The following is a 13,765-nucleotide window of genomic DNA, read 5'->3' as shown; positions in this document are numbered from 1 at the left end:
ATTTTGCTCTTGTTGCCCAGGCTGGAGTGCAATGATGCAATCTCAGCTCACTGCAACCTCTGCCTCCCGGGTTCAAGTGATTCTCCCGCCTTAGCCTCCTGAGTAGCTGGGATTACAGGTGCCCACCACCAGAGACGCGGGTTTCACCATGTTAGCCAGGCTGGTCTCGAACTCCTGATGTCAGGTGATCCACCCGCCTTGGCCTCCCAAAGTGCTGGGATTACAGACGTGAGCCACCGCGCCCGGCCCAAAAGACTTGCTCCCAAAGTGTTTGTTTTACAATCTCGGGTCTTAGAAATAACACGGGTGGCATGAGAGGAAGCTGTCCAGGGGCTGTGGGTGGTGGGCAGCCTTTCCCTGAGCCAGTACGGGGACGTGGATAAGGGGCAACAGGTCCTTGCCGCTTTTCCTAGGTCCCTGGCCCGTGCCTGAGGCCTGGGATCTCTGTAGCCCCGAGGTGGAGTCAAGCCTGGGGCCCCGGGCCCCAGTCTTAGCCGCAGCCTCGGGCAAGCTGCGTAACATCTCTGAACTGGGACTGTGCGGATTCGAGAAGGCAGCGGACGCGAAAGGAGCCCAGCCAGGGCTGGCGCTTCCCGCAAGCGGCCGCGCGTGGCTGCGGGGATCACTCGGGCGAAGCTCGCGGGCCAGGCGGGGCGTTCCCGGGGCCGCTCTTGTGACGCCACGGGCGTTGCCCAGCAACCGCGAACGCCGCGGCGGTGAGCTTGCGGGCAGGCGGCTGGGGCGGCTCCGGGCTCGGGTTCTGCGGCGGCGCCTGCAGCGCGGATCCCCCACGTCCCCGCTCGGGCCGGGCCTCAGAAACGGGCGAGCCCGGGCGCGGGAGGAAGCGGCGGCCCCGGCTCGGGTCCTGCGACGCCCAGCTCCCCTCCGGGGCGCCCCCCGAGGGGTCCCCGCCCCCCGCCGCGGCCCCGCCCCTGCCTCAAGGCCCCGCCCCCCGTGGCCGGCGCTGGCCCCGCCCCTTGGCCCGGGCTGCTGGGAGTCCCCGGCGGGGCGGGGGTCAGCTCTGGTCCCGTTGGTCCTGGGCGCGGCGCCATGGCCTCCGAGGCGGTGAAGGTTGTCGTGCGCTGCCGTCCCATGAACCAGCGGGAGCGAGAGCTGCGCTGCCAGCCCGTGGTGACTGTGGACTGCGCGCGCGCCCAGTGCTGCATCCAGAACCCGGGCGCCGCCGACGAGCCGCCCAAGCAGTTCACCTTCGACGGCGCCTACCACGTGGACCACGTCACCGAGCAGATCTACAACGAGATCGCCTATCCGCTGGTGGAGGTGAGGGCGCCCGGCAGGCCGCCCTGCAGGCGGCAGGGCATGAGGCCGCCCCGAGAGTCCCCAGGGGGCTGCGCTGCCCCCCAGCCAGGAGGAAAGGCCCTCGAGGGGCGCAGGCGGACGGGAACAGGTAGGTCCGGAGGCTTTTGTCCAGGCGGGACACAACCAGAGCCTGCCTCTAATGTCGCCTCCGGGTCTGCACTATCCCCAGCGTCTCCGCCTCCCGGGTTCAAGCGATTCTCCTGCCTCAGCCTCCCAAGTAGCTGGGATTACAGGTGCCTGCCACCACGCCCGTCTAATTTTTGTGTTTTTAGTACAGATGGGGTTTCACCATGTTGGCCAGGCTGGTCTCGAACTCCTGACCTCAAGTGATCCGCCCGCCAAGTGCTGGGATCACAGGCATGAGGCACCGCGTCCGGCCGAATGGTGACTTTTTATCTTCCCTCACTGGCAAGATGGGGCACACCTAGCCCTGTTTTGGTTACAGCATGGGTCTTTGCAGTGGAACCGGGCATAGATGCCATGTGGGCCCTTGGGGTCTCAGAACAATTCTCTGGGCCAATCTACCCATACAGGATCCACCCCAAGCCCACACTAAGGTCTAGAATTTGCAAGCTCATGAGCTCTGCAAGGGCAGGAACTGTGTCTGCCTCGTTCACCACTTTGTCCGTAGGCTGAGCATAGTCCCTGTCGAATGAATAGAAACAGCGATGAATGAAGAATGACTTTGGGAATGACTTTGGGAACAGCACCGGGTTTGCCTCCTCTCTTCCTTCCAGGCCTCATCTTCCACCCCTCCCCTAGTCCCTCCTGCTCTCCACACCTCATCTGTGTGGCTTTACTCAAGCTGACCCCTCAGCCTGGAATGCCTTCCTCTTCCTGTCACCTGGCAAAGTACGAGCCCCACTCCCAGCTCCCCCAGTTCTCCCTGTCTTTGCCGCCTGGAAAGCTGTGCTTCGTTCTTCCTGTGCCATCCTGTTTTCGCTTCTTTGTACTCCCTGTCCCTGCCGGCTGGCTGCCTGGACTCTTGTCGCTGTGTGCCCCGCCCCATAGCCCGCCACGAGAATCACCTGTACGTGTCCAGCTCCCTGCATTGCAGGCAGACATTGGGCCATCACCTGTGTATGGCAGTGCTTCCTGTGCCCATGCACGAAAGAAGCCCTGTATGCACCCTGTGAGAGCCCCGCAGGTGCTGCTCTTACCCTTTAAGATATTGATTTTTTTTTTTTTTTTTTTTGAGACGGAGTCTCGCGCTGTCGCCCAGGCTGGGGTGCAGTGGCACGACCTCGGCTCACTGCAATCTCCTGGGTTCAATAAATTCTCCTGCCTCAGCCTCCCGAGTAGCTGGGACTGCAGGAGCTCACCACCACACCCGGCTAATTTTTCGTATTTTTAGTAGAGACAGGGTTTCACCGTGTTGCCAAGGCTGGTTTTGAACTCCTGACCTCAGGTAATCTGCCCACCTCAGCCTTCCAAAGTGCTGGGATTACAGGCATGAGCCACCCCGCCTGGCCCAAGGTGTTTTTCTTATCATCTTATCAATTTGCCTCAGTAAGGCCAGCCCAAGGGCACACGGTCAGTAAAGTGGAGATGGATGTGAGCCCAGGGGGCCAAGCCCACAGCTCAGGCTCTTCCCCATCCACACACAGGGACAGCTCCTACCCCACCAGAGAGTCAACTCCTTGAGGACAGAGCTGCGCCTTGTTTATCTCCACAGTCCAGTGCCATTGTTGGTGGGGGGACCAGGAAGGGCCCTGAGTCTGTGGGTTAGGGAGCCCTGTCCCGAGCCCTGCTGTGCCTGCTCCACTGAGCACGGGGTCCTGCCTTCCTCCCATGCAGGGCGTCACTGAGGGCTACAATGGCACCATCTTTGCCTACGGCCAGACAGGCAGCGGGAAGTCCTTCACCATGCAGGGCCTGCCGGATCCGCCCTCCCAGAGAGGCATCATCCCCAGGGCCTTCGAGCACGTGTTCGAGAGCGTCCAGGTACGGGCCTCGCAGAGGGAAGGGGCAGGGCCAGAGCTGCAGCTGGGCCCAGAGCACTTCTGACAGGTGGCAGAGACACGGGAAGTCTTTGGAGCCCGGCCTGACCCGTGCAGATCAGCAGAGAAGGCTCTGGGTTCTGAAAAGGTGGTGGGAAAAAAACTTAGAACAGAGAAAATTCTGTCCATGCTTTTCTCTCACCATTTTTGCCTTCTAACCCTTAGTTGAGCATTTCCCATGGATCTGCTGACCCTGTGCACTGGGCCAGGAAGTGGTTGTAACAATCACAGCTTCCCTCTTTATTGAGCAATTGTTATGGACCAAGTCATATGTGAAGCCCTTGGCATCCTTATCTCACTGAATCTCCAGCCTGACCCAGGAGGTAGCTGATAACCCCATTTTTGAGATAGGGAGGTTGAGACTGAGCCTTTATTGGCCAAGTTGAGACTGGACTCTGAATTCATCCCGGCATCCAGGCTGCAGGTGAGAATTACCTGGCGACCATTTGTGGCAGTGCACGGGGAATGGCGGATGGGGACAACCCTGATCAGCTGCAGAACCCACTGTGCCACTCTCAGGACTCATCATGGTGGCCACAGCAACATGTAGGGCCTTGGAGAGCTGCCAGGGACCAGCCCAGAGCCAGTGCTTGGCCCAGGCCTTCCCTGTGGCCTCAGGTGTTTTTTTTTTTTTTTTTTTGAGACGGAGTCTTGCTCTGTCACCCAGGCTGGAGTACAATGGCATGACCTTGGCTCACTGCAACCTCTGCCTCCCAGATTCAAGCAATTCTCCTGCCTCAGCTTCCCGAGTAGCTGGGATTACAGGCGCCCATCACCACACCTGGCTAATTTTTGTACTTTTAGTAGAGATGGAGTTTCGCCATGTTGGCCAGGTTGGTCTTGAACTCCTGGTCTCAGGTGATTCATTGGCCTCGGCCTCCCAAAGTGTTGGGATTACAGGTGTCAGCCACCGCACTTTTTCTTTGTTTGTTTTTGTTTTTGTTTTTGAGACGGAGTCTTGCTCTTTCGCCCAGGCTGGAGTGCAATGGCGCGATCTTGGCTCACTGCAACCTCTGCCTCCCGGGTTCGAGCAATTCTCATGCCTCAGCCTCCTGAGTAGCTGGGATTACAGGTGTCCACCACCATGCGCAGCTAATTTTTTTTTTTTTTGAGACGGAGTCTCGCTCTGTTGTCCAGGCTGGAGTGCAGTGGCGTGATCTCAGCTCACTGCAAGCTCCGCCTCCTGGGTTCACGCCATTCTCCTGCCTCAGCCTCCTGAGTAGCTGGGACTACAGGCACCCACCACCATGCCTGGCTAATTTTTTGTATTTTTAGTAGCGACAGGGTTTCACCGTGTTAGCCAGGATGATCTCGATCTCCTGACCTTGTGATGTGCCTGCCTTGGCCTCCCAAAGTGCTGGGATTGCAGGCGTGAGCCACCGCGCTTGGCCTAGCTAATTTTTGTATTTTTAGTAGAGACGGGGGTTTCACCTTGTTGGTCAGGCTGGTCTCGAACTCCTGACCTCAGGTGATCCAACCACCTAGGCCTCCGAAAGTGCTGGGATTACAGGCATGAGCAGCGCCCCGCCCTGTTTTTTTTGTTTTGTTTTGTTTGTTTTTTGTTTGTTTTTGTTTTTGTTTTTAACCTGAATAACGAGGAGGCCTCTGTTTCCTTTCCCATGAGGCTTGTAGACAGAGCATTAGACAGCAATATGAAGATTATGCAACTCAAAGAGGCCTGAGCGCCCACCAAGCTGGAGACAGGAGAGAGCTTGCCAGGAAGGCCAGCAGGGCGGGTTGGGTTGGAGACTCCTCTTGCCCCGATGTCCCTTCTCCTCCCATGATGTCCTGGTGGCAGAGGGCCCAGGCCCCAGGGTCAGACCTGGCAGCAGGTGGACTTCGAGCTCTGAGGTCTAGGTTCTTTCTGTGTACTCCCTGCAGTGTGCAGAGAACACTAAGTTCCTGGTCCGGGCCTCCTACCTGGAGATCTACAATGAAGATGTCCGGGACCTCCTTGGGGCTGACACCAAGCAGAAGCTGGAGGTGGGTGCAGACCCATTGTGGGCAGGTGGGGCTGGTAGGGGGGAGGTTGGCATTGGTGCTGCTCCCTCAGAAATATGGGAAAGTGTCCTGAGGGTGCCGGCACTGGGAGGCTAGAGTCGGGACTTTTTTTTTTTTTTTTAATTAAAAAAAACTTTTTTAGGCAGGTGCAGTGGCTCTTGCCCGTAATCCTAACACTTTGGGAGGCCAAGGTGGGCAGATCACTTGAGGTCAGGAGTTCGAAACCAGCCTGGCCAACATGGTGAAAACCCATCTCTACTAAAAATACAAAAACTAGCTGGGCGTGGTGGTGCATGCCTACAGTCCCAGCTACTGGGGAGGCTAAGGCAGGAGAATCACTTGAACCCAGGAGGTAGAGGTTGCAGTGAGCTGAGATTGTGCCACTGCACTCCAGCCTGGGCAACACAGTGAGACTCCGTCTCAAAATATATATATCTATATTATATATAGTATCTATATATAGATAATATATATATAATATAGATAATATAGATAATATTATAGATAATATAGATATATTATATATATAATATAGATAATATTATCTATATTATATATAGATAATATCTATAATATAGATAATATTATCTATATCTATAATATAGATAATATCTATATTATATATATAGATATTATCTATTTATATATAGATATTATCTATATTATATATAGATATAATATAATTTTATATATATAATATATATAGATATAATATAATTTTATATATAGATAATATTATCTATATTATATATAGATAATATTATCTATATTATATATAGATAATATTATCTATATTATATATATAGATATTATCTATATTATATATATATAGATATATATAGATATATATATAGATAATATTATCTATATATATAATATAGATAATATCTATAATATAGATATATATATGACAAGGTCTCGCTGCGTTGCCCAAGCTGGCTTCGAACTCCTGGCCTTGAGCCTTCCACCTCAGCGCCCCCGGTAGCTGGGACTACAGGCATGCACCACCACATGCACCCAGCCACTTGGTGTTTTTTATGCAGGAGCCTCCAGCCTCCCACCTAGAGTTTTTCTACTGCGTTCCCTCTCCTAGTGCAGCTGAATCATAGCTCAGCCCCCAGACAGGGAAGCAGAGACAGGAGGCAACAGAGGGTGTTGCTCCCACATGTCAGCCCCAGAAGGCCAGCCTGTGGAGTTAGGGCACTCTGGCCCCCTGCAAACCTTCTGCTAACCCGCACTGGAGCAGCAGGGAGCCCTCCTCCCCTTCGTCACTACCCTGGACCCTAGAAAGGCCTCAGTTACCCGGGCCTAGAGGGGCCGAAGGCTGGCAGCTGCTCACACTTGCTGCAGCTGAGCCATGGGTCTCAGGCCTATTGAACCAGCTGCCTTGGGGGCTGCAGTGACAGATGCGCTTGCTGAAACACACTCCAGAGGTCACCGGGCTTTAGACACGCTCCCTCGTGGAGGATGTGCAGATGGCTCTCATGTAAACCTCCTGGCAGTCCAGGAGGAGGCACCGTTCCTATTCCTTGTAACAACAGATGAGGAAACTGAGGCTCCATGTGCCTAAGTAAGACCAACCCAAGGACACACAGTCAGTAAAGAGTGGCGATGGGATTTGAACCCGGGGGCTCCACAGCACACACTCTTAACCCGTGCTTAACACAGGCCCGATCGTGGTTGTAATCAGAGGTTATTACATCACCTAAGGCCAGCAAGAGGTTTGGGGAAGCAGAGTTCTATCCCCTCCCCCTAGCCACTGTAAACTACCATCACAGAACCCAGCCCTGAACTGCCTGATCTGGTGAGGCCTGAGGGGGCCTCTCCAGCGGGTTCTTCCCACCCATGTCCAGGCAAAGTGTCAAGGGCTCCCCTCCCCGTGGCAGCGATGGACACATTCCTGCCATGCTCCCCTCTCTCATCCTTGCCGCATCCCAGCTGGTTGCCATGGTGACCCGGCTCTGGCCTCTCCGCAGCAGAGATGAGCAGTTACCAAGGAACCTGGTGCGCGGCTGAGGGCTGTCACTCAGCGCCTCCCCAGGCGTCGGGGGTGGAGTGGGGTTGGGAGCGCGGTGGAGGGGGACCCCTGAGGCCATCACAAGTGTGGGAGCAGAGAGCCTTCCTAGGCTGGAAAATATCGTGGCGGGAGACCCCTCGGGTGAGGTGTTGTCTCCTGGGGTTGCTCAGGCCCGAGATGGCGACCTCATCCTCTTTGTAACTGAGCCCCCACTGAGTACCCGCAGAACCGTTTTTTAGATCTGTTCTCTTCCTAATCCTCATAATAATCTTGTAGAAATAGGAGTTATCATCCCCATTTTATGGAAGAGAAAATTGAGGCTTAGAGAGGCATATTAACCTCCCCAACCAGCAAGTCACAGAACAAGGTGCCCTCAGGCCACACGCGGCTCCGTCCTCTGGGCTCCCTCCTCACAGCTGCCGCCTGGGCCGAGACCTGCCCTCTGTCATCTCAAGCTTCAGCTCCTGCAGGATGCTCTGGCCTCTCTCTGTGCCCTGAACCCTGGAGCCTTCCATCGGCTGTGACCCCACTAACAGCTATGACCCCACTAACAAACAGCTGTGACCTTCACCTTCTCCTTTCTGGGTGTCAGTTACTCCTCTATTCCATGAAGCCCAGTCCCTTGGTGGGGCTTGGCTGTTTCTCCACGCTTCAGCAGATAGGACCAGCTGTGCCTCGCCCCGACCCCCACCCACGCCTCTCCCACAGCAGGGGCCTGAGCCCACCTGGGACCCCCCTAGAGCTGCTGGGAGCAAAGCAGCTGAGCCTCCTGTGGCTCTGACCCACAGGACCACTTGGCAGACAAATGCCTTTTGTCCTCATTCATTCTGCTCTGGTGCCAGAGTGGTTTTATTTCCTCTCACACTTGAAAAATACCGTGTTTCACAGCTCCGTGTCCGCAGCAAAATGACTTTGCTGCCTGGAAAGCCAGCAGGGAGCCATCAGATAAATTAATTTACTGCTGCCATCGCCCTGAGGGCTGGGGGCCTCTGGGCTGTGAGCCTGCGGGGTTCTGGGGAGCAAGTGGGCTCACCTGTGATCTGAGGGTTTGGGGATATTCCTGTTGTTCTAGAGCCACGGCAGAGGGGATCTGGAGCCTTAGCAACGGGCAAAGGGAGACAGCACTCAGGGCTCATGGGTGACGACAGGCTCAGCCCCTGGGATCTGAAGCTCCCTAAAGGAAACCCACCTTTGTAATCATAGCACTAACAACAACAGCACAGACAGTGGCTGGCATCTATGGGGCACTTAGGTGCTGGCACCATGCTAAGCATTGTGTGTGCCTTATTTTACGGATTCCTCCCCATATCCTATGAGATAGCTGTCTCATGCCCATTTTACAGATGTGGAAACTGAGTCTTAGGTTGTCATTGGCTGAAGGTCCCATAGCAAGTAGGAGGCAGGGGTAGGTCTGAGGCTGGCTGGGCCTGGAACACACCCCTCCCTGTGACAGGCATGTGAGGTGCCAGCCTGCATTACAGGAGGGCGAGGGCGGTCTGGATGGGGCCCTTCTCTCTGGTTCCTTGACCATCCCTGGTCCTAACCCTTGGCGGCTGGAGGTTCCGCCCCTGACTGTTCCTCCTCCCTCAGCTGAAGGAGCACCCAGAGAAGGGCGTGTACGTGAAGGGGCTGTCCATGCACACGGTGCACAGCGTGGCCCAGTGTGAGCACATCATGGAGACTGGCTGGAAGAACCGTTCGGTCGGCTACACGCTGATGAACAAGGATTCCTCACGCTCGCACTCCATCTTCACCATCAGCATCGAGATGTCTGCCGTGGGTATGCGAGGCCATTGTTGGGGGCAGGGGGACAGATGACCCAGCCACTCCCACTAGCCAAGGCACGCCACCTCTCGGGGCCGCAGGAGCCCCTGGAAAGTGGGAAGAGATGCTCTAACAGCCTGGAGGAAACCCAAGAGGACCCTTGGGATGCTGGGACCCGTGTTCCCAGGATAAACAGCAGCAAACACAGTAACACTGGGAGCCAACATTGAGCGCTCACTGTGTGCCAGACAATTTTTATTTATTTATTTGTTTTTTGAGACAAAGTGTCACCCTGTCACCCAGGCTGGAGTGCAGTGGTGATCTCGGCTCACTGCAACCTCTGCCTCCCAGGCTCGGGCGAGCCTCCCACCTCAGCCTCCTGAGCAGCTGGGACTACATGCACACCACCATGCCTGGCTAATTTTTTGTAGAGACGGGGTCTTGCTGTGTTGCCCAGGTTGGTCTTGAACTCCTGAGCTCAAGCAATACTCCCGCCTTGGCCTCCCAAAGTGTTAGGATTACAGGCTTGAGCCACTGCGCCCGGCCAGTGTGCCAGGCAATGTGTGTGCATTATCTCACTTACTCCTACAGCACTCCCATGAGGTGGATACTGAATCATCCCCATTTTACAGAGGAAGAAATTGAGGCCACACAACTAGGAACTAGTGTCAGAGCCTGGCTTCTATCCCAGGGTCTTCCTCTGGAGTGTGTGTCACTCCAACCTTGTGGATTCTCCTCTCCCTCTGTAACGTTCTCTACTCCTCAGTCATCTCATTATTATTTTTTTCTGGAAATGCTGCCGAGAAAGCAAAGAGGAAGGAAAGAAATCCATGTTTATTTGGGGGCCCCATTGGCCATCTGCAGTGCCAAACCCTTTATACCCTTCATTCCATTTAAATCTCACGACAGTCTTAGAGACAGGCACTAGAATCCTCATTTTATAGACGAGGAAACAGAGGCTCTGAGAGGTAAAGTGATTTGCTTGTTCAAGGTCTCACCGCCGCTAATTGGTGGAGCTGGGATTTGAACCCGGGTCTCCGTGATGTCTGGGTTTTCCCATGAATGCTGCAGCTGCCTCCAAGCTGTGGTCCATCATGACTAGAACTCCAAAGAGCAGTGGAGCAGGAGGTGGCCTCAGCCCAACTGGGAACATAATTCTGGAGAGATCCCTGACCCAGGGATCAGGGTCAGGAATTAGCTGGGTGTGATGGTACATGCCTGTAGTCCCAGCTACTTGGGAGGCTGAGGTGAGAGGATTGGTTGAGCCCGGGAGACCGAGGGTGCAGTGATCTGAGATCGCACCACTGCACTACCCAGGGTCAAGGCCTGAGTAGATGGAACCTCCTGGACGCATTGCCCAGCTGGTGTGGTGACCTGGCCTTGGGCCAAGCCCCAGTGCTTGCTTAGGTATGAGGCCATGAGTCTGAGTGTCCCGGGGATGCTGATATAGGGAGGGTTGAGACCAGAGTGGTCACAGCCTCAATACTGCAGCTCAGGGAGGGGCAGAGACCAGGGCAACTGAGGACAGATCAGGAGGGAGGAGGAGGGAGCGGGTTTAGGGGGCACCTCTTGGTCTTTGCAGGAGGATTTGAAGGATGAGGCAGGCTGGTTGCACATTCACCTTATAAAATAATGTGAGCTCAGTGATGATGGTAAAGTAGGGAATGGTAGGGAACAGTTACTCATAGTTCTGACACCTAAATACCACTAACATTTAAGCATTATATTAATATCTAATAATTATTTATATTTATAATTCTTTATATGTTTATTTATATATAAATGTATATATTATATATATACATATATATTTTTTATACACACACACACACACACACACACACACACACACACACACACACACACATACACATTGGTTTGTTTTTTTTTTTGAGACAGCTCTGTTGCCCAGGCTGGAGTGCAGTGGTGCAATCTCAGATCACTGCAACCTTGGTCTCCCAGGCTCAACCAATCCTCCCACCTCAGCCTCCCAAGTAGCTTGGAACTACAGGCATGCACCACCACACCCAGCTAATTTTTATGTTTTGTAGCGACAGGATCTCGCCATGTTGCCCAGGCTGGTCTCGAACTCCTGGATTCAAGCAATCCACCTCAGCCTCCCAAACTGCTGGGATTACAGACATGAGCCACTGCGCCCAGCCCATATTTTCTTTTGATCCTTTTTTCCTGTGAATGTTTTAAACATAACTGAAATCTTACGCCATGTAGGTTTCCCCTGGTTCCATCTCCCTTGCTGTCACTAAGCATTTCTGCACTTTACTGTCACCGTGTCTTCATGACCATGTGTGGTGGCCTGGCTCATGCCATTTTCCAACCGGTCCTTGACAATTGGTTTCCAGTTTCCCAGTGCTGCAAGTCATGCCACGATGGACATCTGTGTGCACAAAGCTTTTTCTCATCTGAGAGTCATTTCCTCAGACTCGGTTCCCTGCAATGGAGTCCTGGAGCAAAGATAACAAACGTGGTTAAGGCTTCTGGTCCGTTCTGCAAAGAGCTTCCCAAAGAGGCAGCACCAAGTTCCTTCCTGTCCTTTTTTGAGAGGCAGAGTCTCACTCTGCCACCTAGGCTGGAGTGCAGTGGTGCAATCATAGCTCATTGTAGCCTTGAACTTCTGGGCTCAAGCATCCCTCCCACCTCAGCCTCCTGAGTAGCTGGGACAACAGGCACACGACACTACACACCCAGCTGTTTTTGGTGGTGTTTTTGTTTGTTTGTTTTCTTTTACTTTTCTTTCTTTTTTTTTTTGAGACAGGATTTTATTTTGCTGCCCAGGCTAGAATGCGGTGGCATGATCACAGCTCACTGCAACCTTAACCTCCTAGGCTCAGGTGATCATCCCACCTCAGCCTCTGAAGTAGCTGAGACCACAGGCATGCACCACCACACCCTGCTAATTTTTATACTTTTTTTTGTAGAGACGGGGTTTTGCCATGTTTTCCAGGCTGGTCTCGAACTCCTGGGGTCAAGCAATCCTCCCATCTCCCAAAGTGCTGGGATTACAGGTGTGAGCTACTGCCCCTGGCCTGTTGTTGTTGTTGTTGTTGAGACAGAATCTTGCTCTGTCGCCCAGGCTGAAGTGCAGTGTTGCAATCTCGGCTCACTGCAACCTTTGTCTCCCAGGTTCAAGCAATTCTTGTGCCTCAGCCTCCTGAGTAGCTGGGATTACAGGCATGTGCCACCACGCCCGGCTAATTTTTGTATTTTTAGTAGATACAAGGTTTCACCATGTTGGCCAGGCTGGTCTTGAACTCCTGACCTCAGGTGATCCGCCTGCCTTGGCCTCCCAAAGTGCTGGGATTACAGGCATGAGCCACCGCACCCAGCCTGTTGTTTTTTAATAGCCTAAAGAACCAGCTGGCTACGAATGCGCTGTCTGTTTACCTTACTTCTCCAGACCACCAACCTGTCAACTAAAGAAAAATCAACAAGTCTGGGCACAGTGGCTCATGCCTGTAATCCCAGCACGTTGGGAGGCCAAGGCAGGATGATCACTTGAGGCCAGCAGTTCGAGACCAGCCTGGGCAACATAGGGACACCGTATCTCTAAAAAGAAAGAAATTAGCCAGGCGTGGTGATGTACGCCTTCAGTCCCAGCTACTCGGGAGACTGAAGCAGGAGGATTGCTTGAGCCTGGGAGTTCGAGGCTGTATTGAGCTAGGATTGCACCACTGCACTCCAGCCTGGGCGACAGAGTGAGACCCTGTCCCAAAGGCAAAAAAAAAAAAAAAAAAAAAAAAAAAGAGACATCCTACTGAGGATTATAGACTGAGGCCTACAGCCCAGAGCGGCTCTGTCAGTATTTCAGTTCACAGTTTATATACAGGTGGTGAAGACTCAGCACCTGCAGAATCACATCTGACTTGCTCAGAATCACATCAAGGTTTGGGTGCAAGAGCACATCTGGTGATAGATTCCAGAGGCTTCCGCACGAACCCCGGCAGACATTATCTCATGTGTAGGAAAAGGCATGGCCTAGGCTCTGTCTTTAAGTGATGTGGTGACTCAGCGACAGACATGGGGGACCGTAGACTCCATCCTGTTTTGTCTTCAAAGCGTGTCTGTGGAGCTCTGCACAGTTCTGCGCGCCGGCACAGAGGCAGCGGCTTTGTGAGCTGATTATGCTGGCAAGCGGAAAAGAGCAAATGTGGCTTCTAACATCTGCCGCTTTGTCTCACAAACCCTAATGGGGAACCATGGGTAGTCTCATTTTGTTGATGTGGGGAATTGAGAATCTGGGAGGTAGGTGGCTCTGCTAATGCCACACTGCAAGGAGAAGACACGACTGGGTTGGGAACCGGGTCTGGGAGTCTCCAAAGCAGATGTTTTCTGTTTTGAATGACATCACTCCCTGGTGATCCAGCCCACACCCCTGCCCTTCTCTACCTTGACCTTGCAGGAAGCCTTCGGGAGCTGCTGTGGCAGCCAGAGGCCCTATTGCACTCAGAATGGTCTGCAACTCCAGGCCCTGCTCCTGGAGACAGCCTGCCCTGGGTTCTGATGGTGGCTATAGCTCTTAGCAGCTGTGTGACCTTGGACAAGTTCCATGCCCTCTCTGAACCTCAGTCTACCCATCTGTAAGATGAACCCAATAATAGCACCTGCTTCCTGGGGCTCCTGTGCAGCTGAGGGGAACCCTCGGTGG

At 53.7% G+C, this 13,765-nt stretch overlaps 1 protein-coding gene across 19 annotated transcripts in view, besides 3 other annotated features; it reads left to right on the top strand.

Annotated features, from left to right (window-relative positions):
- Positions 672-801: a silencer, noted in NCBI's record as "silent region_370". NCBI's record gives its function as "represses an Ori minimal core promoter by ATAC-STARR-seq in GM12878 lymphoblastoid cells {active_cell/tissue: GM12878}" and the evidence as "EXISTENCE:reporter gene assay evidence [ECO:0000049][PMID:35858748]".
- KIF17 (kinesin family member 17) overlaps positions 750-13,765 on the top strand; it is a 56,378-nt gene continuing 43,362 nt past the window's right edge. For 17 of the 19 annotated variants that reach the window (XR_007062426.1, XM_047426155.1, XM_047426150.1 and 14 more), the window contains exons 1-4: positions 750-1,281; positions 3,118-3,264; positions 5,202-5,303; positions 8,929-9,118. Coding sequence is in view for 18 of the 19 variants with exons in the window: in XM_047426155.1 (XP_047282111.1) it covers positions 1,051-1,281; positions 3,118-3,264; positions 5,202-5,303; positions 8,929-9,118 (670 nt within the window). In the remaining variant the exon portion in view is untranslated. Of the gene's footprint in view, positions 1,409-3,117; positions 3,265-5,201; positions 5,304-8,928; positions 9,119-13,765 lie in introns of all 19 variants that reach the window. The other 2 variants (XM_047426158.1, NM_001287212.2) reach the window with 1 other exon arrangement.
- Positions 972-1,041: a silencer, noted in NCBI's record as "silent region_369". NCBI's record gives its function as "represses an Ori minimal core promoter by ATAC-STARR-seq in GM12878 lymphoblastoid cells {active_cell/tissue: GM12878}" and the evidence as "EXISTENCE:reporter gene assay evidence [ECO:0000049][PMID:35858748]".
- Positions 8,022-8,676: an enhancer, noted in NCBI's record as "H3K4me1 hESC enhancer chr1:21036574-21037228 (GRCh37/hg19 assembly coordinates)". NCBI's record gives its function as "activates a minimal SCP1, AML or CMV promoter by ChIP-STARR-seq in primed H9 embryonic stem cells {active_cell/tissue: H9 hESC(primed)}" and the evidence as "EXISTENCE:reporter gene assay evidence [ECO:0000049][PMID:30033119]".

Source organism: Homo sapiens, chromosome 1 (assembly GCF_000001405.40).
Source record: "Homo sapiens chromosome 1, GRCh38.p14 Primary Assembly".
Lineage (NCBI taxonomy): Eukaryota > Metazoa > Chordata > Mammalia > Primates > Hominidae > Homo > Homo sapiens.
The sequence above is the reverse complement of the archived record's forward strand: the minus strand, read 5'-3'. Positions and strand labels throughout refer to the sequence as shown.